The sequence below is a fragment of the Homo sapiens genome, chromosome 5 (genome assembly GCF_000001405.40).
Source record: "Homo sapiens chromosome 5, GRCh38.p14 Primary Assembly".
In the NCBI taxonomy this organism is placed as follows: Eukaryota; Metazoa; Chordata; class Mammalia; order Primates; family Hominidae; genus Homo; species Homo sapiens.
Window position 1 is genome coordinate 95,429,219 of NC_000005.10, and position 27,242 is coordinate 95,456,460.

Below are 27,242 nucleotides of genomic sequence, written 5' to 3' on the forward strand. Positions count from 1 at the left end.
CACCCTTTATGCCCAGTGATACTGAGCTCCCTGTAGGTAGGTCCCCACTCACACCAAGATATTACACATCTTCCTCTAGTTTGTGCTCTTTTCTGCCTGAAGTGTCTCTTTTTCACCTTCCCAGTCAATGGTTTCACTAAAGTGGAGCCCAATGCAAAGTTTTCTGTGCTCCACTTTGTCACATCTTATGCAAAACAAGCACTTCTCTTCTCCTCTGAAGTCATTTGGGCAGAACAAAGTAGACATCCTCTGGAAATTGGAAATATGAAAGTCTGGCGTTTGATTATTTGTTGGTAGGCGCCAGTTAATCCAGAGCAGGTGTTACTGAGCACATAGTTTACTCTAGTCCCATCTGGCTCTCCTTATCTACCTCCTACTCACCCATCTTATTAGGCCCAATAATTTTTAAACTCTCTTTGTTTTTCAAGGTACTCAATCATATCAATAACATGGCAATTTTATCTCTGGTTTTCTGATTTAAGACTTCATTGCTTTTCTTAAAGTCTTGAGCAGAAATTCCAGAATACTGTTAAATAAAAGTGGTCATAGAAGGCAACTTATCTGGTTCCTGATTATCCTGGAAATGTCTTTGCTGTTTGCTGCTGGCTATTGGTTAGAAATATTTTTTAATCATGTTAAGGAAGTATCCAGTGATTCCTACTTAGTTTTTATCAGGATGGAATATCTACTTTAATCAAATGCCTTTTAGATATCAACAAATATCTAGAACCACCATATTGGTTGTTTTTTGGTTTGGGGATTTGTGTGATGTTTGTTGACTTCTTTGGCCTTCTAATGTGTTAATACATTTCCCAATACTGAAACATTCTTGCATTTCTATAATGAAAGCTATACAGTTATTGTATAATAATTCAATATTTAATTTGGCATCAGGATTCAAAAGTGACATTGGACTATAATTCCTCTCTGTTTAGTATATTTTTAAAGATAATGCATACACATAGCTCAAAAACAAAACTACATAAGAAAATATAGCCAGAGAATTTTCATTCCCACCCCTTAACCATTCATCACATTTTTTTCATGATCCTCACAGGTAAGCATTTTTATTAGTCAATTGTGGATGCATTCAGTATGCCCTTATGCAGATATGAGCAAATGCAAATACATATTTTTATTCCCCCTTTATTGCACAAAAATAGTGTATATATATATAGTATATGTAAATAAATAGTATATATATAGAGCTATGCTTTTAAAAAAAAAAAACTAAACAAATATATCCTGAACATCTTTCCATATTGATACACAGAGACCTTCCTTATCTTTTTTTACAACTGCATACCCTTCCTTTGTATGTAATAGTTCAGTTAACTGCTCTTGCATAGATGGACATTTGGGTTCTTTTAAATATTTTGCTCTTTCAAACAATGCTGCAATGAATAACCTTGCACATATGTCATTTTGTATGCGTATAGATATATCTGTAGAATAAATATCCAGAAGTGGGATTTCAGGATCAAAATAGAATAAATAAAAGCAGAGAGAATTAAGCAGAGAGAGTACATGTGTGTTGTTTTGAAAGATCTTGCCAAATTGCTTTCTATATGGCTTTCACCTCATTGCACACCCACCAACAATATGTAAAATGTCCTGTGTCTCCATTGCCTCACCAATGCAGTATTGTTCAACTTCTGAATTTTGCCATTCTTATAGGAAAAAGGCAGTATCTTTTTGTTTTAATTAGCCTTTTTTATTATGGATGAAGTTGAGCATCTTTTCACATATTTAAGGGGCATTTGTATTTCTTTTTTGGTGAACTATCTGTTTATGTCTTTTGCCTATTTCTCTACTGGGCTATTTTTCCTCTCTATCTCTAGGAGCTCTTTATATGGTAAGGAGATGAGCTGTTTTCTCTATGACACAAATTGCAAATGCATTTCCCCAGTTTGTCATAGGTCTTTGGTTTTTGACATGCACAAATAGTTCTCTAGTTGTAGTTGAATTTATCAGTTCTTTTGTGGCTGCTGGAATTTCAAATCAGTTAGAAAGAGCTTCCCTACACAAAGTCTTGAAAGAATTCTTCATATCTCTTCAGGCACTTTCATGGCTTTGTTGTTTACACTTAAATCCTTCGTCCATTTGTAGTTTTCCTAATATGTGTCTTAACTACTGTTTTAATTATTGAATCTTTATGGTATTTTTATATCTGGTAGGGCTAGTTCCTTCCACTACGTTCTTTTTTCAGTTTCCTGGTATAATTAGTTGTTTTTGCTTATAATTTTAAAATCAGCCTGTCTCATTTCAATAAATAAATCAAAAATAAACTATTTTAATCTTTATTAAAATCATGTTAAATTTGTAAATAAATTTTAGAATTGACATAGTCATAATGTTGAGTGTTCTATCCAAGAATGTAGTGTGCTTCCCATTTGTCTGAGTTTGCTTTTAAGTTCTTGAGGAGTATTTTCAAATTTTTCTCATGTAGATTTGGCATAATTTCTTATTAAATGTATTTTGAGATTTTGAAATCTTTTTCTTTTTAGTTTATTGTAACAGGGGCTTCGATATGCCCTCTAATTCATTGTTAGTTGTATATTATGAAGACAATATTAATTTTATATTCCACAGTGTATTCTCTTCTTGATTATAGTAAGTTTTTAGTTTCCCTTCCTCCCCAAGAACACAATCATATGCTCTGTAAATGGTAATAATTTTAGCTCATGTTTTTTCATTTTCATATGCAAAATTTCTCTCTCTTTTCTAATTGCTTTGACTAATAACCCCAAACAATGTTAGATAGTATGTGGGAATAGTGGACATCCTGGTCTTCTTCCTAACTTTAACTGTCCTGTGTTTCCCTTATGATGGGGAAAGTAAGTTTCCCCATTAAGCATGTTTAGTAGCCAACTATTCCTATATTATTGAATTTTTTAGAAATCAAAAACGATTATTGAATTTTATCAAATACCTTTTCAGCATTTATGAAATGATGTGTTCTCTGTTATACTAGTGTAATTATTTCCTATTATTAAACCATCCTTGCATTTTCTAAAATAAATTACACTCATTATGATGTATTTTGTTGTGGTGCAGGATAATGTTTGCTGACATTTTACTTAAGAATTTTGCATTAGTGCTTTTAAGTGAGATTAACCTATTTTCTCTGCCATCGTTTTCAGATTTTGGAATCACCATTGAACTGACTTCATAAAAAAATTTGAAAGTTTTCTTATTTTTCTATGTTCTGAAACAGTTTAAAGAGTATTATAAGTATTCTTTAAGGATTTGGTAGCTTTGCTTCTGACATATTATCTGAGCCTGATGATTTGATGGGGAAGGAAGCCCTTTGATAGCTTTCATTTTTTATATTTATTTTTTTGAGACAAGGTCTCTTTCTGTTGATTAGTCTGCTTAAACTTTCTATCTCTTCAGAGGTTAGCTTCTATAAATTACTTTTTCTTAGAAAAAAAATCTATTTCCTTCAGATTTTGAATTTGCATAAAGTTATGCAAAATGCTTTTAGGGTGGTTTTAATTCTCTCTGCTTTTATTTATTCTATTTTATTATTTTGTATATTTGTGCTTTTCTTTTTTTCCCCCTTGATTAGGTTAGGTGTGCCTTAACAATGATTTTACAATTAACAAATCCTTTTATATATTTTTTATTTTCTGCTTCTATTGTCTTTTCCAACTCTCCAATTTCACCTTTTATCTTTTCTTTTTCCTTGCCTGCAGGGTATTTTGTTGTTCATTTTGCAACTTTTTAAAACCACATGTATTTGTAGTCTTTTTTGCTGACATGAGCATTTATGGCTGTGAATTTTTCCTGAGCATTCATTCTTCTTCCTTATATCCCCCGGAGTTTAACATGTAGTATTCTCATTATTATTTCCTAGAAATTCTGCAATTGCATGTGGTATTTTCCCTTAAATAGTTAAGAGGAGTGTATTAGTCTGTTCTCACACTGCTAATAAAGACATACCCAAGACCGGGTAATTTATTTTTTTAAAGAAAGAGGTTTAATGGACTCATAGTTCCACATGGCTGGGGAGACCTCACAGTCATGGTGAAAGGTGAAGGGTAGCAAAGGCATGTTTTACATGGTGGCAGGCAAGAGAAGTGCCAAGCAAAAGGGGGAAAAGTCCCATATAAAACCATCAGATCTCATGAGAACTCACTCACTATAATGAGAATAGCAGCATGCAGGTAATTGCCCCCATGATTCAATTACCTCCCACGGGGTCCTTCTCATGACATGTAGGGATTATGGGAATTACAATTCAAGATGAGATTTGGATGGGGACACAGCCAAACCATATCAAGGAAGTTTTTTCCCCACCCTCTGAGTTAAGGACTTTTTGTTTTGTTATGCTGGTATTCATTTTTAGTTTCATCTCATTGTAGGTAAAAATTTTAATATATGTAAGTTTTAGTTTTTGGAATATTTTGAGGATTGTTTTTGGTGGCTGGATAGTCCATTTTCATACATGTTCTAAAAAAAGTGTATTCTGTATTTTTAGGGCACAAAGTTCAATCAGTACTTATAGGGAATAACTTACTGGTTAAATCTTCTGATCCTTACTTATTTTTTAGTCTACTGCTGTCTTGGATTGAGAGGTGAATTAAAGTCTCCTCTGGTTATCAGACTTCCATTTCACCTATAATTTCAGTTTTTAGAATGTTTCTGCTATGTTATTTGGCTTACAGATATTCATAACTACTCTTTTTTCTTTCTTAATTTTAATACTTAAGTTTCCTCACTTCACATGTAGAGTAGAACAAACTTTGCCTATTACCTTTTCGAAAAACCAGCCCTTGGATTACACATCAATCCCCATACCTTTTGTTTTTATTCATTTATTTTTAAAATATTTGTTTTCAATTGCTGCCTTAACAAATTACCATAAACATAATAGTTTAAAACAACACAAATGCATTATCTCATGCTTTCTGTAGGTCAAAATTTGGGAGGGGCTAGACTGGACCCTCAGGATCTCATAAGGCAGAAATCGAGGTGTCTGCAGAGTTGTGTTTCTTTATGGAGGCTTTGGGAATGAATCCTGTTCAGGTTCATTCAAACTTTTGAATCCAGTTCCTTGCAGTTGTAGTCCTGAGGTCCTTGCAGGCTGTTAGCTGGGGGTTGGTCCTTGCTCCAGAGGCCGCCTACCTTCCTTCTTGTGTTTTCCATGTGGCCTTTCTCCAGCAACAGCAGGTCAAGTCCTTCTCATGCTTCAAGTCATTCTGACTTCACCTTCTGCTGCATCCCTCTCACACCAGCTGGAAAAACTTCTCTGCTTTTAGGAGCCCTGTGATTAAGTTAGGCCCACTTGGATAATCCAGAATAATCTCCCCCTTTTACTTTAATTACAGCTGCAAATCCCTTTTGCTCTACAGCATCGCACCTTCACAGGTTTCAGACTGAGGGCATGGACATCTTTTCGAGCCCATTCTGCCTCCCACAATTTGTCAATTTCTTCATCCTGCTTTCCTTTGATTAGGAATTTTTTATTCCTTTTAAACTTCGTGAAATGAATGATTCACTTACATTGCCTTATTCTTTCTTGTATAATTATGAAAATATTTAATGCCACAAATTTACCTCTGATTATATATTTGGCTGTGTCCTTTTGATATGTAATGTTTCCATTATCTTCTCCTAAGTAAATTTGTAATTGCAGTGTTGATTTACTCTTCGGCACTTGTGTTAGTCCAGATCCTTTGCGAAGCAAATGCCATAAAGGAATTAAATGTGCAAGAAATTTATTGAGAGGAAAATTGATGAAGAAAAATTGGGAGGGAGACTATGACAGAGGTCTGGTTTCTGTGAAAAAGATGGAGAAAGAAGGCTTTAGGATTGCAGTGCCATTCTAAGATTATTTCAGTGAGTTCCTTTGTTCCTTGAACAAAAGTCACGCATCAAAGGACTACTCAGACATTGGCTAGGCACGGCCTGTAGAAAGCATGGTCTGGACACTCGTGATGGATTTTGAGCACAGTAGTCACAGCCCTTGGCCAATTATGCTCCTTGCAGTAGGACATCTAAGAGGCACATTTTCATGTGAAACACTAAAATCAAGAGTGGGTTTTTTGTTGCTTTTTTTTTACTCAAGTGACTGGGTTTTTGTGGGTTTTTATTCCTTTATGCTTCCTTATTAACTTCTAGTTTTAGCACAGTGTGGAGTTATGGCCTGTGCTTTTCCTGCTTTTTGGAATAATTTGAGATTTTCTTAATGTTGCATATGTGCTTGGTTGTTGCAGATGCTTAGTGGGCACTGGGAAAAAATGAATGCTGTTTCCAAGTTACATGGTTTGATATATAAATCTATGAAATACATTTACAGTTTTTATATTTTCTTGTATCATTATTTATATTTTACTTACTTGACCAGTAAAGAGTCAAGAAAAGTCATTTAAAATCATTAATGTATTGTCTCTGTTTATCCTGAAAAGCTGTTGCTTTTTTGCTCAATATATAAATATTCACAGCTCTCTACTTTCACAATGAGTTTTACTCTTCATCTATAAAGATGACCATCTTTGTCCCATTTTTAAATGTGTTTTGCTTTAAGTAATATTTTACCTAACATTAATATTGCTCTGCTGCTTTATTTTCCTTTGCCTTTACCTGTAATTGCCTATTATTATAATAAATTGCCTATTATTTTATTTCAAACATTTCCATCTTTAGCCTGTTTTAAGTGTATCTTTCTCCTGTAAATAGCCACTCAACTGCTGTTGGTTGCCCACCCAACACTTACCTATTCAAATCCTTCCGTTACTCCCCTCTTTCTTTCATAAGAACTCATTTTATTAAATGCCCACTCTCCTCCATATGACCGTCTTTATTAGGAGCTGAATTCTGTTTGACCAAAGCCAATCATGTAGTTTCATTCTCCTTAAAAGTGACTAGTTTAGGCATGATTATGGGTTGCAATTCTGCCTCTATTTTTTAATCCAGTTCTTTTACATAAAGAAACTTTCTCAATGTTTCTGGCAGTTTGAAAGGTGCTCTAATCTTAAATTCTAAAACTGGAATTTGTTTTTTTCCTATCCTTAAATGCCCTAAGTCATTTCACTTGGGATTCACTTGTGCTCATGTCAGAATACTATCTGGAAATCTTGGGCCAGTCATGTGTGTTTTCCTCAGAGCCTGATTGTGCATTTAAACATTTATTCAATAAGTATTTGTTGAGCATTTACCATTGATCACCTAATGTGCACTGAGGATATGGTGGTAATAGCATACCATATCTTGTATTGTAACGGGAGACAATAGAGAAGTAGAAATATAATCAAATTAACAGACTAATAAACAAACTAATGGAAACAGCATGTTTTTGTTATATCATTAGATGGCCTATGATCAAAAAGAATATTCTAGACAACAGAATGGAACACTCCCTATTATTCTTTCCTTGAAGATAGTGTAACTGTAATACTCATTTGAACACAAGGCATTTTCAAGTGCAATCATGCTTTAGGTTCAAGTCTGTTTCCCAGCTCCTTAAAGGAATAAAGTATATTAATCTGTTTCCCGGCTCCTTAAAGGAATAAAGTATATTAATGTGAATGCTGGTGGTTTTGTTCATATGCACAAACCCTCTCGTACTTTGACTAGGTGATGCAGCTCTTAGGAAAGATAGAAACTGCCAGTTCTGAGCAAACCTCGAATTTAAAGATGGTCCAGGGGGATTATCGCCACGAAATGAACCTTTTGGAATTCAAGTAAGTGAATAGAAGATTTTTAATTCTGTTAAGTGCATTCCAAAGAGTTTTGCCTAATGAAAGCATTGGCATGAAATAAAAACCTATCCCAGGAATTTGAACCTGGCCAAGAAATAAAGCAGTGAACTAACACAGAGAATATTTTACACTAAAGTAACTTATATAATATTTATAATAAAAGAATTATGAATATTAATCTTATCATTCACTTTGACTGCACAATATCTCAACTGAATTGACACAATCATTTTTACCCTTCCTGTAATTTTTACTTATTATCAATTGCATATTAAAATGTCTCAATGTAAAGCACTATGGAAAATAATTTCATTCCTCAAGATTATCAAATATTTTTAAAAACAATTTTGATACACAAGCTTTTCCTTTAAGATTCTTCCTAACATCCTCTATTTACTCCTTTACATTATCATTATTTTATTATTATTATTATTATTTTGAGACGGAGTCTCGCTCTGTCGCCCAGGCTGGAGTGCAGTGGCGCGTCTCTGCTTACTGCAAGCTCCGTCTCCTGGGTTCACGCCATTCTCCTGCCTCAGCCTCCTGAGTAGCTGGGATTACAGGCATGTACCACGACACCTAATTTTGTATTTTTAGTAGAGACCGGGTTTCTCCATGTTGAGGCTGGTCTCGAACTCCTGACCTCAGGTGATCCGCCCGCCTCAGCCTCCCAAAGTGCTGGGATTACAGGCGTGAGCCACTGTGTCCGGCCTACATTATTTCTTTTTAAGACTGGTCTCTACCCCATCTTAAACTGAATTTTTTCCTCCACTCAATGGAGAAAGCAGTAAAGGAGACAGCTCCACAAATGTTCAAATTACTGGCTTCCTTATTATCAAATCTCCCTTTTTTTCTTTTTTTAAATGATCATCATTTCCAGGGTCATGGTGCAGGCAGAGGGAAATTCTAGTTACTTGGATACTATCATACTGTCCCTTATGCTCTTATTCTTTTTACTCTATGTCTCACAACATTTGGGTTTAATGCCTTAATCAAATCCAGTATCCTGATAATACTCTACTTTCTCCATTTTTTCCCATCTCTACTGTATTTTATTAAATCTAAGTGCCATTGAATATAACATGCACCATTATAATTTTGTACCTGTAAGACATGAAGCTAACAATTAAACCGTAGCATATCATCATTTTAAGATATTTCTTGATTTTGGAGATGCTAAAATGCGAAATATGTGTGTCTTACAAGTTGATGTAAAACAATTGTCCTTACTAAAACTTGGAGAAGTAGTTGTCAAGTAAACAGAAAATATTCATGTTCTTCATAGTCTAAGAAAGCATTTCTACTTTCTTAAATTCTAGCACAATGAGGGTGTTCAGTGAGTAGCTAATCTAATACCTTTAGCTTGGAATTAAGACAAAGAAAACTGTCCAAAGGAAAAGTAGAACAGTAATCTGTTTCTAGATATACAGATTAAGAATTGACTGTATAGGGAAGGGATGGGATTTATAAACTGAAATGGAAGGCTGACTTAAAGGGATGAGGTATATTAACAAGTGGAAAAGAGAGAAAAAGGAAATGTTTGAGATCCAGGGCTAACTGCTGCATTACTGATGATGCTCATTTTTTCTGTCTTTGGTATTATGGGAATTTGGCTTATGGAAAGTCATCTGAGTAGTTAAATCTGAATCTGGACACTTTTATAACAGTGTAAACTTGACTCTTTTTCTCACTTTAAATAATGAAGTCTTAATATTTCAGTAGTATTACAGTAGGTGGCAGTGACTCTATAAACCATGCTTTTCCCCCAGGCAAATAATTCTAATAATTCATTTAGTTACACAACTGACTTTTATATTTAAATTTTCTCCAATTTTAAAAATTAAAAATATGCATTAATTGTAAAAAAAAAAAAAAAACCAACAACAGTGAAAAAAGAGGTCATCATCTCAGCCTTCTGTTGTAATCAATATTAACACCAGGGATGTAGCCATCCTCAATTTCCTCCTTGTTAATATAAGTATATAACAGAGAAAGGATATGTATATATTATATGTATAGAGGAAGCATGGGTTTTAAAAATAATTTCTATACCTATTACTCAATTATTTGATTTTTCTAGTACATCCTGGATATCTCTCCAGATCAGTAAATGTTCTAAGTTTTTTATAGCTGTACAATCTTTTAACTTATATATGTGCCATAATTAATTCAACCATTTATCTTATTGCTGAATGGATTATTTCTAGTTTAGGACTACCACAAGAAACAAAAAAAGTATTATGTGTATATCCTTAGATATCCTTAAATACTGGCACTTTTATTTCTATAGGCAAGCTTGCTAGGTTAAAGAGTATATATATATATATATATATATATATATGTATATTTTAATTTTATAAATTTCTTCTTTAAAATGTTGTAGGGTTTTACACTTCGACCAGCAATGTATGAGAAGACCTTTCTCTACATTTTAACCAATGATGAATGTGTTCTCTTTTTAATACTGGCCAAAGGATGAAAAAAGCATCTGTTTTAATTTGCATTCCCTTTTACTATTTGAATATTCTGTGAATTGCCCATTATTATTTATCAAATTTTGTATTGGGATTTTTGTCATTGTCTTATCAATTTTTAGGATTCTTTCACATTAGAGATATTAACCATTTGACTGAGATATGTATTGAAAATGTATTTTGCTCAAAGAGAAAGTAAGACAGGGTTATTTTTTTTTTCAATCAGAAGACCTCTGTTTCAATCTGGTATATTGGATTTAGTTTTTAACAAGGTTAACTTTGAACAAAAATAAGTAGTTCCACTACTTTAAAAAAAAGTAAACTGCTGCTAATATTAGGATTTTGAGGTACATATACATTTAAAAATGAAGTAGATAATGTATAGAATTCACTTTTTTTAAAGAAATAACTTTCTCTGAATAAAGAGATTAACTTTAAATAAAAGTGTTTTAATAACATTAAAGGTTAAGTTTAGTCAGACACCGTGGCACACACCTGTAGTCCCAGCTACCCAGGAGGCTGAGGCAAGCAGGATCGCTTGAACCCAGGAGTTCGGGTTACAATGAGCTGTCATTGCACCACTGCATGCCAGCCTGGATGACAGAGCAAGACCTGGTCTCTAAAAAAGTCTTTTAACAAAGGTTAAGGTTAACCTTTGTTTGGCTTGAAGACCAGAAAATTAGACACTACAAGATTGAAGACAGCTAATTTAAGAAACATCCACAGCAGAGACTGGCACAAGTTCTTTGAAAAGTGTCTCAGAGGTGCTGACAAGTCCTTTCAAGATTCAAGATCAACAAGAAGCTATTGACTGGCTTCTCGGTCTAGCTGTGAGGCTTGAATATGGAGATAATGCTGAAAAATACAAGGACTTAGTACCTGATTATGCAAAAACTGCTGACAATGCAACTAAAAATGCAGAACCATTGATCAATTTGGATGTAAATAATCCTGATGTTAAGGCTGGTGTGAAGGCTAACCTGCTTCAGATTCAATGTCATGACGATTACCTGGTAATGCCTAAGGCAATTCGAATTTTGGTTCAGGAGCACCTGACAGGATGCAGTTGCTAAGGCAAATCAAACAGAGGGTTTGCCTGTTGCTTTAGACAAAATATTATTGGTTTTGATGCAGGAGATGCAGTTCTTAATGAAGCTGCTCAAATTCTGCAATTACTGCATATAGAAGAGCTCAGAGAGCTACAGACAAAAATTAATGAAGCCATAGTAGCTGTTCAGACAATTATTACTGATCCAAGGACAGACCACAGACTGGGAAAAGTTGGAAGATGAACACTTTAGGACTTCAGCTTCTCACCTATTTAGTACAACTGGGAACCATGTCCACTTCTGGCATGTTTGAAAATCAAACGTCACATTTTGCGGGGAGGAATCCCAGAAAAGTGACTATGTTCTAGTGCTTTTTTCTTTAATAAAGTTTAGGAAAGTAGGGGAAAAAAAAGAGCAGAGCTGCTGCAGGCCAGGGCCACCTTCACTCGGGATACCTCTGTGGTTACCAGATGTCAATCATGGAAAATGTGAGAGAGAAGAGAAGAGCAATACTGAAAAAGTTTCCCCGTGCCACACCTACTCGCAGGTGTCTTGGCAGGGAATCCAGGAGCAAATGCCTTCAAAACGCCAAGGTAATTCCGTCTCCACCACCATCCTCATTAGTAAATTGAAACCCGAGACGATGGCTTTTATGTCACCTCACTTGCCAAGATACAATTAAAACCTGTCAAGACAGGTTGTCAAAATGATACCAGCGGCTAAAACATACAAAGAGCCTCGGCTTCCATAGCCACCATTCCTGACGGCCAAGCACCAGAAACAGCAGCCGAGGAACCTCAAACTTTACATGCGCATTTTTCAAAATTAAAACTATGCATCTGGCCGGGCGCGATGGCTCACCCCTGTAATTCCAGCACTTTGGGAGGCCAAGGCGGGCAGATCACGAGATCAAGAGATGGAGACCATCCTGGCCAGCATAGTGAAACCCCGCCTGTACTAAAAATACAAAAATTAGCCGGCCGTGGTGGCGGGCGCCTGTAGTCCCAGCTACTCGGGAGGCTGAAGCAGGAGAATGGCTTGAACCCGGGAGGTGGAGGTTGCAGTGAGCAGAGATCGTGCCACTCTCCTCCAGCCTGGCGACAGAGTGAGACTCTGTATCTAAATAAATAAATAAATATAAATAAAACTATGTCTGCAAATTAAAAAAAAAAGGTTAAATAGGCAATCTTCCCATTTAGAAACATTTACAAATTCAAGTTTAATGGTCAACTAAACTTATATTGAACTTAAAAGCTACAGTGTTTTCTGACACTTTTCTAGTGAATTGCTGGGATTTGGGCACTGATCTCTAGATCCGACAAAGACATGCACTGAACCCCTCCACTGTGCCTCCTCCTCAGAAGGATCATCCTCTGAGCTTCTGCTAAGTAATGTCCTAAGCCTACTTAGTTCTTACACAGCAAGAGTCTTGGCCATCAGGAAATAAAGCTGTCTTTTAACAAGGGTTTGGCAGGGGCAGCACTTACCAGTCACTCCCTAGATAGCTCTTACTGCTGACGCTTGTTTAGTAGACAGTGATTTATAAGAAAAGAAAAAGTGTTTGGTCAATGAAGCAAATGCATAGACTCAAATAATATCATCCAACTTTGAAAACACTACCACAGTAGAAAGTTAATAATTACCCAGTACAGAGATATGTCAAATTCAACTTTGTATCTTTAGCACCCAACACATTGAAATAGAAGTAGAAGCCAATGAATGAATGAACGATTTTTGAGCACCTATATTATGTAAACTGTGTTTTAGAATATCCAAACATAATCCTTGCTACTTACAGTTGAGAAGAAACAACATAAGTGAAAAGCTAAACACAGGAAAAGTAAAAGTTAAGACAATGTTAAATGAGATGATGTATCAATAGGCAGAAATAATAAATACAGTAATCGTCATTTATGAATGCTTACCAACCACTAGTGCTGAAGATACTCAATGCACCCAGCTCTGCAGGGTGGATCTTATTTATCCCTATCTTAAAGATTAGGACATATAAAATCATGGAGATTAATTTGCCCAAAATCACACAGCTAGAAAGTGTCTGACTCTAAAGCTCAAATTGTTTTGATCAATTCATGATGTTTCCATCTCACAATTCTGTCTATTGAAAACTAATTCTACCACAGAAATTTTTAAAAGGGAAAGACCACATTGACTTGGGTGGCTGGGAAACAGGCTGTGAATGTATTGGGATTTGAACAATTTGGAATATCTAAGAAACAAAAGTCTTTCTATCAGAGTGGAGGCAGAATTGATTTTTAGTGTCACTAATTAGAAATCACATAACATTAAGAAGAAATTAGTTTGAGAGTTCTACCTGTAGGTGTAAAGTTAGTAGAAAAACAGTATTTCTTGGAACTAATTTTTGGTTTCTAATATGAAACTTAGAATCTTAGACTCAGTCTCCAAAGAAATAATAGCATATGGTCTGTCTTAAGCTCTTTTTCAAATATGATTACAAAAATGAAAATATCTTCTGTTTATCAGCAAATGAAAGGCCACTAATTCTTTTTACATTCACACTTGGTCAAAGCCCTATCTAAGTTCTTGAGAGCCTGCTAGCAGTAATAGTTTCCAAGAATTCAAAATCTTGGAAAAGTTCATTCAACAGATTTTTTTTAACACAAGACATTGGTTTTGGGACATAAGTGTAGTGGCAAAACTGGCCTAGGATAGAGCTACATCCTCATTTCTGTATGTCATCCATGACCAAGGAAGGCGGACCCTGGCTGCCTTCACCACTAATCCCTCACTGCAGCTCTCTGCCTTGTGCCCTGCTATGTCTGTAGATCTTCACTCAGCTTTCCTTCACTGTTTTGTAATTTTCTCCCTTATAATTGCTCTCGGTGTGTACTTTAATTTGATTAAATCAGCATAAACACTTAAAAACATAAAAACAACCAATAGCCCTCATCATCCTAGTGAGGTCTCTAGCTATAATTTAAATGTCTGACTTTTGTGTTTTGAGGAAAAGGAAAGAATAAGCTCTATCTCATCACCTATCTGTATACATCTAATAGAAATGCTCATACACCTATTGAAATAGAAGATTTGGGATCTAAAATGTGAATGTCATCTAAGATAGATTCATACTGCTGAGATTTTAACTGTAAGTTCTGTAATTAATATATTATGGCAAATCATGTCCATTATGTCCGGGAAAAGCTTATGCAAAGAAAAAGAGTTATACAAACCTTTATTTTACTTATTCTTTACATCTCTCAAGGAGATTGCTATTTCAAAAATGCTTTCAAATTTTAATAAACTACCAACAGAATCCAACTTCTGGGTGTTACCAGGAAAATTAATCCCCAGCTGAAAGCAAATCTTGTAATAAAAGGATAAGTAGTAATTCATTCTTTATGGCTTTAATTTCAGAATTTCAATTACTGATATGCCCTTCCAGAGATATTACATGGGCATACTTAATGTTTCCTTGGTTTTCAGAGGGATGTTAATATTGTATCAGTGATAAAAGAGTAAATGCTCTCATTTATTTGTTATACAGTAAAGGTGGGCACTGAAGGCTGGATTCTCAATTGTAAAGCTATCTCTTGATTATCTGGGGATTTACTGGCCCCCTTAACTATGACTATTAATTAATACTTCCACCAGAGACAGGGAAAGGAAGATGAAAACCAAAGCAGATTAGATTTCTAAATAGCTTGACAAATCTATGATTTGTTATTTGTCAGCAATGCTAATAAAAGATACTTAATGAGAAAGAATGACCCATTTGTTCATTTAGCCAACTATTTATTGAGCACTTACTATATTCCAGGCATTGTTATCAGCCATGAACAATGCAAAATTCTTGCTTTCATGGAGCTTAACTTTTAGTGGAGGAGATAGAACACAAATTAGTGTGCGTCAGATGGTGATGAGAATTTTGGAGAAAAATTAAGTAGGGTAAGAGAATAGGAAGTTTCAAATAAGGAGAAAGAGTTCTATTTTTTAAGGTGGTGTATAAATGTAAATCTGAATGAGATTAGGGCAGGAGCCAATGGATATTCTGAGGAAGAGTATTCCAGATAGAGAAAATAATTGGCTAAAATGAGGGAGTCTACGTATCCAGTGGGTGGGCTTATTTGTCTGAGATCCAACAGCTGTTAACCAACAGCACAGGTGATTGGGAATCATGATTAGACTAAGAACACGAATAGAAACCAACTCCATCTTCTTCAGTGTTGAGGTACTCAACAGTCAATCAAGATATGCCTCATATCTATGTGAAAAATATCACTCTGTGTCAAAAATAATGAGAGAATTCAGAGGACAAAGATCAGAATTTAGCTATTAGACTGTAACTAATATAACTATTGGAAAATTAACTTACATTTCCCATTCCTTGGTTTCATCATCTAAGTCAGGTTTTCTCAGTGTCGGCACTATTGGTATTTCAGCTGGATCATTCTTTGTTGTGAGTCTCTCCTGTGCATTGTAAGATGTTTAGCAGCATCTCTAGTGTCTACCCACTAGATGCCAGTAACACCTCTCAGTTGTGACAACCAAAATTGTCTCCAGATGTTATCAAACGTCCCCCAGGGGCAAGCAGGTGGGAGGGGGGTAACTGCCCCCAGTTGAAAGCTATTAGCCTAAAAATAATGATTTCACAGAACTTGTATTTTCTAATAATTAGCCCAAACACTTTTTCCAAAGAGCAAGAGAGGCATGTATATGGAGTGTATGTCCAGCATGACTTAATTAATTTCCAATGATAAACATCACAAACTAAATTATATGCATATAATTTTGTCTGAAAACATCAGAGCAATTATTACTTTAACTGTCTGTACCATACATTGTAAGACAGTCTGAATATTTTCAATAACAAACATTGTTCTTGCCAATCTAACAGTTTTACCTATTCTAAAAGGGAATTTGAAGCCAACATCTTATCATGAGCAAGTCACATGCAGAAAACACACACAGAAACCACTCACAAGTCCCCATCCCTCATCCTACCTCTTCCCAGTCCCATACCTCATTTAATTCAGATTGGATTCCCCTCTCTCCTCAAACCCTCGGCCACTCTACAGTGACTTCTCAACTGATGATATATGATTCCAACCCTTTTATCCACTTCTATTCTTAAAAATCTTTCATTCTCTGTTATTTAATACTTCTATGGTGCATCATCTTGATAGGTCCCGTAGGTACCTTCCTGTACCTCTATTACTTCTGCTTTTGCCCCACATGAGTAATTCAAGGCCTCTTTAAATGCCCCCTAAAAAAAAAATCCACTCACACAGACTCATTGGTAGCAATGGGGACTTTATGGAAGATTTTGCCTGAGACAAATGCAACCTAAAGTCCCCCTTGGCACATTCCCCAGGTTCTTTGGGGGCTTTTCTCCTCCATTCTCCTGCCTCTGACCTTTCTCTCCTCTGCTAGACAATGCAGGTCCTCTCTGCCCCTGCTCCTCTCCCAGCCACATACCGGCACTTAGCAGGAGTCAGCAAACTATCACACTTAGCCACATTTACCCACAGCTAAGAATGGCTTCTATGCATTCTAATAATTAAAGAGTTCTATTTCATAACATGTGAATATTACATAAAGTTTGATTAGACTATAACCGTACTCATTTCTTTACATATCTGTGGCTGCTTTCCCACTGCAATGGAGCATTGAGTGGTTGCAACAGAGACTATATGGCCCACAATGCCTAAAATATTTACTATCTGGCCTTTGACAGACAACGCCTAGCATGAGTAATAATCCCCACCACAAGGGAACTTATCAAAGTATTTCCTCCACACACAACCAGTGAGCCCCAGGCCATGAGAGGAATTCTGCATGGATAACACTACATTTCAGTGTGGCTGTGGTTAGCTCCCAGCCAGCAGTGCTCCTGTCACTGTGTGTTTGTATTTTAGGGTATGTAGAGGGGGTGTTAACAGTAGCTGGACTGAACTCAAGCTCAGGACAGGAACCCAGAGTGTACTTACCTTGCCTCTGGCACCTCCCACATCACCCCACAAATACTTGCTAGACACACTGAGTCTCGTCACCTCAAAAAACTGCAGACTTTTTCAATACTAATTTTTTATGTTTAAATTAACTTATTTAAATGAAACAAAACATTTTTTCCCATAGATTTCATTCACTTTCAAGTAATCTGTACGAAGAAGTTGAGAATAATAAAAAATGGACAGAAAACCAATTTCTCAAATATAGAAAAGACCACCTGGGCCATATAAATGAATGTCTGAAGGTCCTACAGGAGAAACTGGTGAGGAGTTCTGTTATTTTGTGAAGCAAGCACCTGCATAGTCCTTGTTAGCAGTGAGTAAAGGTCTGGGAATTTGTACTTCAACATTTATGGTAATCTTCACTGCTTCAGTAACTTTTTTTTTTTTAAACACCACAATAGGAGTCCAGAGGCCTGTCTTCTGGTCCTGTTTGCTACTCCCCAACTCTGCAAACCTGTGTTTCTCAGAGTGTGCTCTACCTGTACCAAAAGAATCTGAAGAGGTTTTTTTTTTTAAAAAAAAAAAAATAGATTGCCACCCCAGACCCAGAGAGTCTGACTCTCTTGGGGCCTCCCCTGGGAATCAGTGGTTAAAGGCACACTCCCTGAGTGATGTGCAGACAAGTCATTTGACTTTTCTGAAGATCTCTTAGTAGATTAAAAGTTTTCAAAACTCTTTTTTTCAGATCAGACCATGTAAAGACAGCCCCAAGCTTTGGGGTGAGGCTACCAAGGTTTATGAGAAATATACTTATTTCAGGGGTCCCCTCTCCCACTGCAACCAGCACACCTTACCCAATGGGAAGGGCAGCACAGCGCCATCACTGTGGTCAATGGCTGCCAGTCCTGCAGGTGACTAAAGTAAGATGTTTTGAGAACTTAGGTAGAGAGACTTTAGGCAGAGGCAGCTCAGGAAATAATGTCCCCAGCTCCAGCCTGAGTTTGTAAACAGCTGATAGAGTTACAAAGGAGCCAAGAGTTGGAGATAAACATAAAGCTTTATCACTGGTAAGGCTATCGAAGTATGTGTGGTAAGACTGCAGCTGCCGAGTGGGACTGCTAGCTCTTCACTCCTGAATTAGGCAGATTCCTTTACCAGTTATACGCAGCACTAGGTAACCGTGGGGTCATTGTGCAGGCAGAAACCTCCCACCATAAGGAACACAGAGACTGGAATCCACCAACACTTATTCCTGAGGCAGATGGGGCCAAAGAGAGGAGAACCAAAAGGGTCATACCTGCCATGCCCAGTTCCTGCTCCCAGATTCCCTGTGGAGAAGTGAGGAGAAAAGCAGCTGATTATCCTAAGGCTGACTCTGCAGTCCCTACCTTGGTTGTACATTAGAATCACCTGGAGAGTGCTTAAATCCTATCAGTTCTTGAGCTCCATCACAGACCAATTAAATCAGAATTCCTGGGGCTGGGGTATGGTCCAGGTGATGTTACTAAACGACTGGAATGGCGAGTCACTATTCTAGCCGAAGTCTGTCCACGTGGAGGTATGAAATTGAGGGAGTATGTCCAAGAAACTCAGGAAAAGCAGTATCTAAAATGTCTTTGAATATTAGACTTAAATGCCAAATTCTCAAGGCATTTGGGCCACGCTACAGCCCTTTTCTTTTATTCCATTACATGTTGAATTCCAGAAACTACAAATGAACAGGGCCAAAGGGATTAACTCTTATACTTATGAACACAGTTTTAGATACAAAGGAACTTGGTTTGAATTTTCATGCTTAACATAGAAAAATGAATGTTAAAAATATTTTCTCTAAGCTGAAAGATAAATCCATGTACATTTCTGAAGTTTTATCCCATAATCTCTTTTACAGGAAAAGTCTGAAAATAAAATGGAAGAAAAACTGCTGCAGCTTTCAAGCAAAGTAGAGAATTTCATTAACACACAGAAACAGGAAACACAACTAAGTAAAGTAAAGCATATGGAAAATAAATTGTCCAAAAAGATGGAACAAATGGAAAAGCAGATCTGGGGTGAATTAGAGACAATGCAGAATGAATATCAATCAGGTGAGCAGATACCTTTTATTAAGTAAAGAATATCTGTCCTTTCCTGTTCAATCCCTCAGTCTTCCACTTTGAGCTAATGGCCAGGGATCAATCTTGTCATTAGTGACATCGTTATGTATTTATTCCACTTTTCTAAATATCCTATAGAATATGAGTATTATACTGGAAGGCATATAAATAAATTAACTTTCTTCACTTGGCAATGTCACAGGCCTGCCATTGGTGTGAATTTTTTTTTTTTTTTTTTTTTACTAAGATCATGGAATTTTTACTAATTCATGGAATTGTCAGACTTGGAAAATCCTTGGACATACCCAAGACGTGACTTGTGGGTATGTTATGAAATTAAGAGCCTAAATCAAATGCCCTTCTCATTGAACTACAAGTAATGAGCTTGGACAGATGTCAGACTGGAGACCTGACCTTTAGAAGTGAGAAAGAGGGATGAATTAGCAGAGTCCAGTATAATGACTGCTTTTATTTTGAAGAGGCTAATGGCAGCAGTGTCAAGCTGAGCTAACATCAAAGAGGATTAATTTGAAAGGCTCATCTAATTTCTCAAAGGGAAGGACATGGAATAGGTGCTGTGGTGCAGCCATCTGCCTTGAGTCATAATTCTGAGGGAATTACCAGGACTCAGAAGAGTTTCTTTCCTAGAGAAAGTCCCAAGTAATTTTTTTTCTTTTGTCTTCTAGATCTCAGAAAAATTCATGTGTAAATTCTACCAAATTTGGTCCTGTATAGAGATACCTTGGAGGTGCCTTGGGAGGACATGAGGGTCTCAATCTGCCAGATGTTCCTGGCATATAAGTAGAATTTGCTGCCTGGAAATTCAACCCTCACAATATACCCCTCCCACCGTCATATCAAAATAATGAATTATCTGGCCAGGAATCATGTCCCAAACTTAACTGGCCCTTCTTTTAAAGGCTCTGCTTTCTGTTTAACTATCAGAGGTTTAATTTTACTTATTCCATTAGTAAAACTTCAGGGTGAACTGAAAAGGAATTTACCACCTGCAAGTTCTTTCATTTTACTAATGAGGAGGAGTTCTAAAAAGGGGGAACTTCAAATTAATGGTTTGCTGCTTTATGCCTTTAATAAAAATGTGTTGAGAAACGACTCTGTGAAAGGCCCCAGTGAATAACAAATGGGTTGTGCCCTAAGGCCTTGAGGTTTGATAGGTCTGTGGTCAGGAGTGACTAGACATGCATAAGAGAGATACAAAGTGCTAGGAGGGAGGAGGGCAGCAGGGGGCCGCTGTTAGGTCCCTCAAATAGGCTACTTTCAGAGAAGATTTAAAATCTCATCTGTGATCTTTACCTTCAATTTGGTAACAAGACTGAAAAAAAATCACACAAGTCTCTCATCAAAGCATTCAGAAAGAATAAAATATTTTAAATTTCTCTCTTGCAATATAGAATTATGCAATATATTTGAGGAGGAGAAAAATAAATTTCACAATGAAACCAGATAACTAGATATAAGTTGAAACACTATTGTGAATGGATCTTCATGACATACAAGAAATATATTATGTACAATTTTAGGCTGGTCTTCATAGAATTTAATGCGCTTGGAATTAAATGATAATCAATTATGGCAGGACTGCCGATTAGCAACTTTTTTAAAAAAAAGCTCTAATGCATTGTTTAAGTGTACCTATTCTTTTACCCTCTTACAGGATTTAAATCAATTCATGACTCTCTCAGCTCCCTCCAACAAATACAGAAAACAAAGATGGATTTAGAGAAATATAAAGTACAGAAAGACCTAAAGAAATTACAGCGCAAGATAGTGGAACTCCAGGAAGTATAAACCTTTTCAGTCATCTTCTTTTTCATCAGCCAATGGAGTGATTTGTTGGAAAAAGTTCTGAAGAAGAAAGTTACTATCTCTGGGATGTTTACTGCTTCTAATGTCTCCTTTTAAGGAGACGAATGTACCAGAAAAATAATAAAGCAAAGAAGCTTCGGATGTCTTGAATTTATTAATGAAAAAACTAAGAAATTTCTTTATATAGCTGCCTTTATGTATATATATACCTATAAATAACGAAAGAGGAATCTACATAAGGTACATGAGTGAAGTAGGCCAGCTGTAATATATTAAAGAATGACAGGAGCTCTGGCAAATTGGAGAGCACTTACTCTGTCTAAAAATAATAGCTACTATGTAGTGACAGTCCATGACTAACATATATATATATATATAAAATCCATTATTATCCAAAATTCCACTTTTCAAGAGAAATTCCTCTATTTTTAAGCTTTAGCAACTAGTTCAAAATAGTTCTCAAACTATGTGAGATACGCCTGTGGAGCAGATATGACCTAGTGGTCAGTTTGCAACTTCTAATCTCAATGTTTGTAGCAAGTCTAACTTATGCATATTTAAAATATATTTTCCTTGTACTCAATATGTACCAGAATTATAAGCAATTAAGAGCCAAACCATGCAAAATAAGAGAATACAACAGTTTCCATGAAAACATATCCAACGTAATTTGACCTAGGTGCTAAATTCAGAAGTACTTCAAAAATGCTAGTTTCCTATACAATTAAAAATTGTTGGCCAAGTGCAGTGGCTCACACCTGTAATCCTAGCACTTTGGGAGGCTGAGGTGGGTGGATCACTTGAGGTCAGGAGTTTGAGACCAGCCTGGCCAACATGGTGAAACCCCGTCTCTACTAATAACACAAAAATTAGCCGGGTGTGGTGGCGTGCGCCTGTAATACCAGCTACTCGGGAGGCTGAGGCAGGAGAATCACTTGGAACCCTGGAGACAGAGGTTGCAGTGAGCTGAGATCACGCCATTTCACTCCAGCCTGGGTGACAAGAGCAAAACTCTGTCTCAAAAAAAAAATTGTCTAACTTTTCTAGATATAAATATTAAATATAGAGCCTAATATTGAGCAGTATATTCATGAAACATAAAAATGAACTATTCAGGATATGCACTCGGCTATAACAAGGACTAATTTCTAATCACAGAACTTATGTAAGCTTGGCAATGGAAACTTTGCTTCCGACTTAGGCTCCTTCCTTGGCTTAGGGAAGAAAAGTGACAACTTCCTCCCCTAATACAGAACAAGTTTACCTTCTGAGTAAATTTTTGACTAATGCTCACTTCTGTAATGTTTTAACTCTATGAAACATCTCCTTTTATTGCTATTAATAACCCACATGCAGCATCATTGAGTCTATAACTGAAGGGATTTTCATAGCAGAATTTAATTTAAGAGTTTAAAATGCAGTATGTTCAGTGATGATATGGTATCCAACGAAAAAGTAAGAAATATTAAAATAATGCAATGGTAAGTGTCCTTTGTAACCAAGTATCATGCTAAGACAGAGGGCTAATATCCCAAGTAATCCCAAATAACTTTTACAAGTAAGTAAGAAAATAATCAATTTTTTTTCAAAATGGGCAAAGGATATGAACAGGCAAGCCACAGAAGAATATAATAATATGAAGGTATGAGAAGATGTCCAACTTTACTGTTAAATAAATAAAAATTAAGAAACCCTTAGCTACTATTTTCAAGATTGGCAAAGATTAAAGTGATTGATAATACTGGGCTGGCAAGGGTGGAGAAAGAGTGCACTCTCATACATTATTGGCGAGTCTATAAATTGGTACAATGATTTAGATGGCAATTTGAGAACATCTGTTAATGTTTTTAAATGTAAATATCTTTTGATCCTGCAATCCATGGCTAGAAATTTATATTACCGGGGGAAACAACTCCCAAAGTGTGCAAAGATATATGAACAAGAATGCTCATTATAGCATCATTTGTTATAGTTAAAAAAAAAAAAAAAAGGAAAAGAAACACCAAAACCAGAAAACACCCAAATATAAGGAATTGATTGACTAAATGGTATTAACAAGACCACTCCCCCCACCACCCAATGCTGGACAGCCCTTTAAAAAGAACACAGAAAGATGTCCAAGATATACTGTTAGGTGAAAAAGACAAGTTTAAAAGCAATATGGATATGATCCACTTTTGTCATAAAATGTTTTAACTAAGTTAAACATAATATGCATATACTGTATGCCAAAAAAGGTAAGAATTTACAACAAACTTAGTGGATTCTATTTTTTAAAAAACTTCTGTTTTCTACATTAAGGATTTATGAAAGCTTTTATATTTTTATATAATATTTTTGTTTCTACTAAAAATATTTTATAAAAACAACAACAAATATAATAGGCTGAAAGAGTAACTCTTTGTAATGAACTAAACAAATGATTGTAGGGAGGGTTAAATTAGGAATTAATACAGACTAAGAGTCAAGTCATCTCACTCTCTTTTTGCTATACAGACATAGCTACAAAAGCAGAGAGGATACACAGCAACTGAAAAAAATATACATTTTCTCCTTGTTCTAAATGTTCTAATGTTCTAAAATGTTCTAAATTAGATTGTAGTTCAAATAATAGTGTAAAATCAGGCCAAAAGTTTTCCAACAATAGATCTTTCATTGCTCTTGGCCAGGACAGTAACATGTGGGGCAGTAGATCAAAGGATCAAAGAATCCTCTATCACCACTCTTCTACTTGGGATGCCAAATTGAGGTGTTCACGGGTTTGCACAGACTCTAGATAGTCAAAGAACTATGCTCATTGAGCAGGTGGATCCAGGTTTCTCAGAGTCTAAAGCTTATGATGTTTCAGTTTGTTATTGATGTACTGTCCTGATGCCAGATGAGTTAGCACAGAAGTCTATAAGAATATTCCTGGAAGCCACTCCTAATCAGGACAGCTAGTAGTAACTCAACACAGAAGTGACTGTGAACAACATGAATATATCCCTGTAATCCAAATGTATCCCCAACTCAACTTCTCTTTGTCCACAGCCACTTCAGCACCACCCGACATCAAGGGAAGTGGGAGTGAAAAGAGGCAGTGGTCTTAATCAATGGCATTCATCAATTATGTTTAAAATGTCTTACTTCTGTAAATATGACAATGATCTTGTAAATACATGGCTAGAGCTCACGCAAGCAGGAGCCCCTGAAGCTTAAGAGCCATTGTTTCACAGTAAATTCACCTCTGTTCAAGGAACCAGTGGAGCACTGGGCCTCCCTCCCCTTGCATTTATTTTGACAGAAATCCAAAAAGATAAATAAAACTATCCTCCTAAAGAAGCTCAATATACATGGCACTTTATTCCATATCAAACAATATTACTTAATCCTTTGGGAAATGTCAGACTTCTCTTCCCACAAATATAGGATGATTGAGCACTGGAGAATCTGCAATCCAGATCCACGCTACAGACTTGAGGCATATGTTAAAATATGCTCAGGTAGTTTTTACTTTAAGTACAAACACCATTTAAACAGTCTTGAATAGTTAAGGGTCCTACTGCCCTTAAATTTCCTGTTGTTTCCTTCCTATTATCAACACCTGCTCTTAGAAAACATAGGAGAAAAGCCCCTTGACATTAGTTTTGACAATGACTTTTTGGATATAACACCAAAAGCACAGGCAACAAAAGTAAACAAGTGAGATTACATCAAATTAAAAAGTTTCTGCACAGCAAAGGAAACAATCAGCAAAATGAAAGAACCTATGAAATGGGAGAAAATATTTGCAAACCATATATCTGATGGGGAACTAGTATCCAAAAACATATAAGGAACTCAACAACTCAATAGCCAAAAACACAAATAACCTGATAAAAAAAATGGGCAAAGGACCTGAATAGATGTTTTTCCAAGAAGATATACAAATAGCCAACAGATATATAAAAACTCAAATGATAACAGGTGTTGGTGAGGATGTAGAGAAAAGGGAACCCTCGTGCACTGTATGTGGGACAATAAATTGGTACAGCCATTAGGGAAAACAATATGGAGGCTGTTCAAAAAAACTAAAAATAAAACTATCACATGATCCTGCAATCCCACTTCTGGAAAATAAAGTGAAAACAGTATGTCAAAGAGATATTTGCACCCTATGTTCACTGCAGCATTATTCACAATAGCCAAGATGCGGAAACCACCTGACAGAAGAATGGATAAACTGTCATCTATGTATATACATATATATATAATTCAGGTTTACAGAAGAAAGAAATCTTGCCATTTGCGACAACATGAGTGAACTTAGAGGGCATTATGCTAAGTGAAATAAGCTAGGTACAAAAAGCTAAATACTGCACAAACTCACTTACATGTGGAATCTCTTTAGAAATAAATGAAGAATAGAACAGTAGTTGCCAGAACTCATAGAAATAAACAGAGAATAGAACAGTAGTTGCCAGGGGCTGGGAGCCGAGGCAAATGGAAGATTTCAGTCAAAGGATACAAACTTTAAAGTTAAAATGAATAAATTCTGGAGATCTAATGTACAGCATGTGGATCATACTTAATAATGTACTGTCTATTTGAAATTTGCTGAGAGATCTTCAGTGTTCTTACCACACACACAAAAATGGTAACTATGTGAGGTGATACGTTAATTAGCTTGATTGAGGTATCACAGTGTATATTAAAACCCACAATGTACATCTTACATATGTAGAATAAAAAATTTTAAACTTGCTCTTTGGGGAAAAATCATATGAAATTATTCATACTGAGGACTAGATGGTCATGTTCAAAGTGTTTTACTTCTGCACTAAAAATTAAGGACAAATCCCTCCCCTTCTGCCACACAGGTAACTGCTTTCTCAGCCCCATTGTGAGGCATATATGCTTGCCATCTGGTAGTCAGGACAGCAGCAAGGCCCAAGACTTTGGTCAAAGAAACAGCATTCCCAGAGTACTCTAGACACCAGCAGCCCTCCCGTCTTCTAATTTTCCAAACATAGACTCCCTTCCATTGGCTTCACCCATAGTAGCAGCAAGTAGCATCCCAAAACACCAAGAAGGAAAAATTTGATCTATAGTACACACACACACACACACACACACACACACACAGTGCACATTGTTGCCTTACAAAAGGGATCTCCAAAGTTTTTGTGAAGTATTACTATTTCTATCTTTCCAGCTTCCATACATCCATGGGCTAGCCACTGTGGATACAATATTGAACAACCTAAACACAAACCCTGCCTTCAGGGAATTTATAGTTTAGTGGAAAAGACCAACAATTAAAATCACAAATACATGGGAAAGTAGAGTGTAATGGGAGAGCCAGAGAGAGGAAACACATTCCCTGTGTTTACCAGAAACACAGGGAATCAGGCAGAGGGGTCTTCCAGAAGAAGGAGTATCTAAATTGAGACCTCCAATGTATAAGCAGACATAAGTCAAGGGAAAGAGGCTTGATTGGTAGAGGTGAGGGCTCAGGCAGATTGATCAGCCTGAGCAAAGGCCTGGAGGCCAAAAGAGAATGGGGATATATGCCAGAAATTGCAAGAAGCTCAATAAGTGTAGGTCAGAGCCTATGCTGTGTGTTAGGGGAGGTGAGTAGTGAGAGAGAAGGCTGGAGAAGTTAGGGAAAGTGGGGTGTCTAATCACAAAAGACTTTGTAACTCATATTGAGAAACTTGGGCTTTATCTTAAGGATCCAGAGTAGCCTTTAAAAGATCTTAAATAGGAGAGTGACAGATTTGCATTTTATAGAAAGATCCCTCTGGCTGCAGTGTAGAGAATACATTAGATGCAGTGTGGGAAGCAAATTTGGGTGGGAAAGGAGGGAAATAATACAGCAGAGAGGGGATAATGAGATGTTTTAAACTAATTGATTTTGAGGCATCTATGGGACATCCAAATGGAGATGTCCAGTGGTTAGTGAGAGAGCTGGGCCTGGAGCATGAGAGAAAGATCTGAACTGGGGATTTAGCTTTGGAAGTCACCAGCAGAGAAATGGTTACTGGAATTACTGGGGAGGAAGGCATTGCCTTGGTTAGGTGGGATAGGGGTTGGGGACATGAAGACTACAGTGAGAAGTAGAGACCAAGAACAACCTAACACTGAAGACACCTAACACTGAAAGAACAGCAGAAGAGTCCTGGGCGAGTATGGGGAGACG

General features: G+C 36.4%; 1 protein-coding gene and 1 pseudogene across 6 annotated transcripts in view, besides 1 other annotated feature; both read left to right on the forward strand.

Annotated features, from left to right (window-relative positions):
- Positions 1 to 21,223, forward strand: part of FAM81B (family with sequence similarity 81 member B) — a 59,076-nt gene extending 37,853 nt beyond the window's left edge. For 4 of the 6 annotated variants that reach the window (NM_152548.3, XM_011543209.2, XM_011543210.3 and 1 more), the window contains 4 exons: positions 7,582 to 7,688; positions 17,344 to 17,479; positions 19,051 to 19,246; positions 20,931 to 21,223. In NM_152548.3, the coding sequence (NP_689761.2) occupies positions 7,582 to 7,688; positions 17,344 to 17,479; positions 19,051 to 19,246; positions 20,931 to 21,064 (573 nt within the window). In that variant the 3' untranslated portion in view covers positions 21,065 to 21,223. Of the gene's footprint in view, positions 1 to 7,581; positions 7,689 to 14,212; positions 14,354 to 17,343; positions 17,480 to 19,050; positions 19,247 to 20,930 lie in introns of those variants that run through there. The other 2 variants (XM_011543207.2, XM_047416821.1) reach the window with 2 other exon arrangements.
- Positions 10,565 to 11,497: an enhancer, noted in NCBI's record as "OCT4-NANOG hESC enhancer chr5:94775487-94776419 (GRCh37/hg19 assembly coordinates)". NCBI's record gives its function as "activates a minimal SCP1, AML or CMV promoter by ChIP-STARR-seq in naive and primed H9 embryonic stem cells {active_cell/tissue: H9 hESC(naive and primed)}" and the evidence as "EXISTENCE:reporter gene assay evidence [ECO:0000049][PMID:30033119]".
- On the forward strand, positions 10,838 to 11,630 carry RTRAFP2 (RTRAF pseudogene 2; annotated as a pseudogene).
- Positions 21,224 to 27,242: the final 6,019 nt, after the last annotated feature.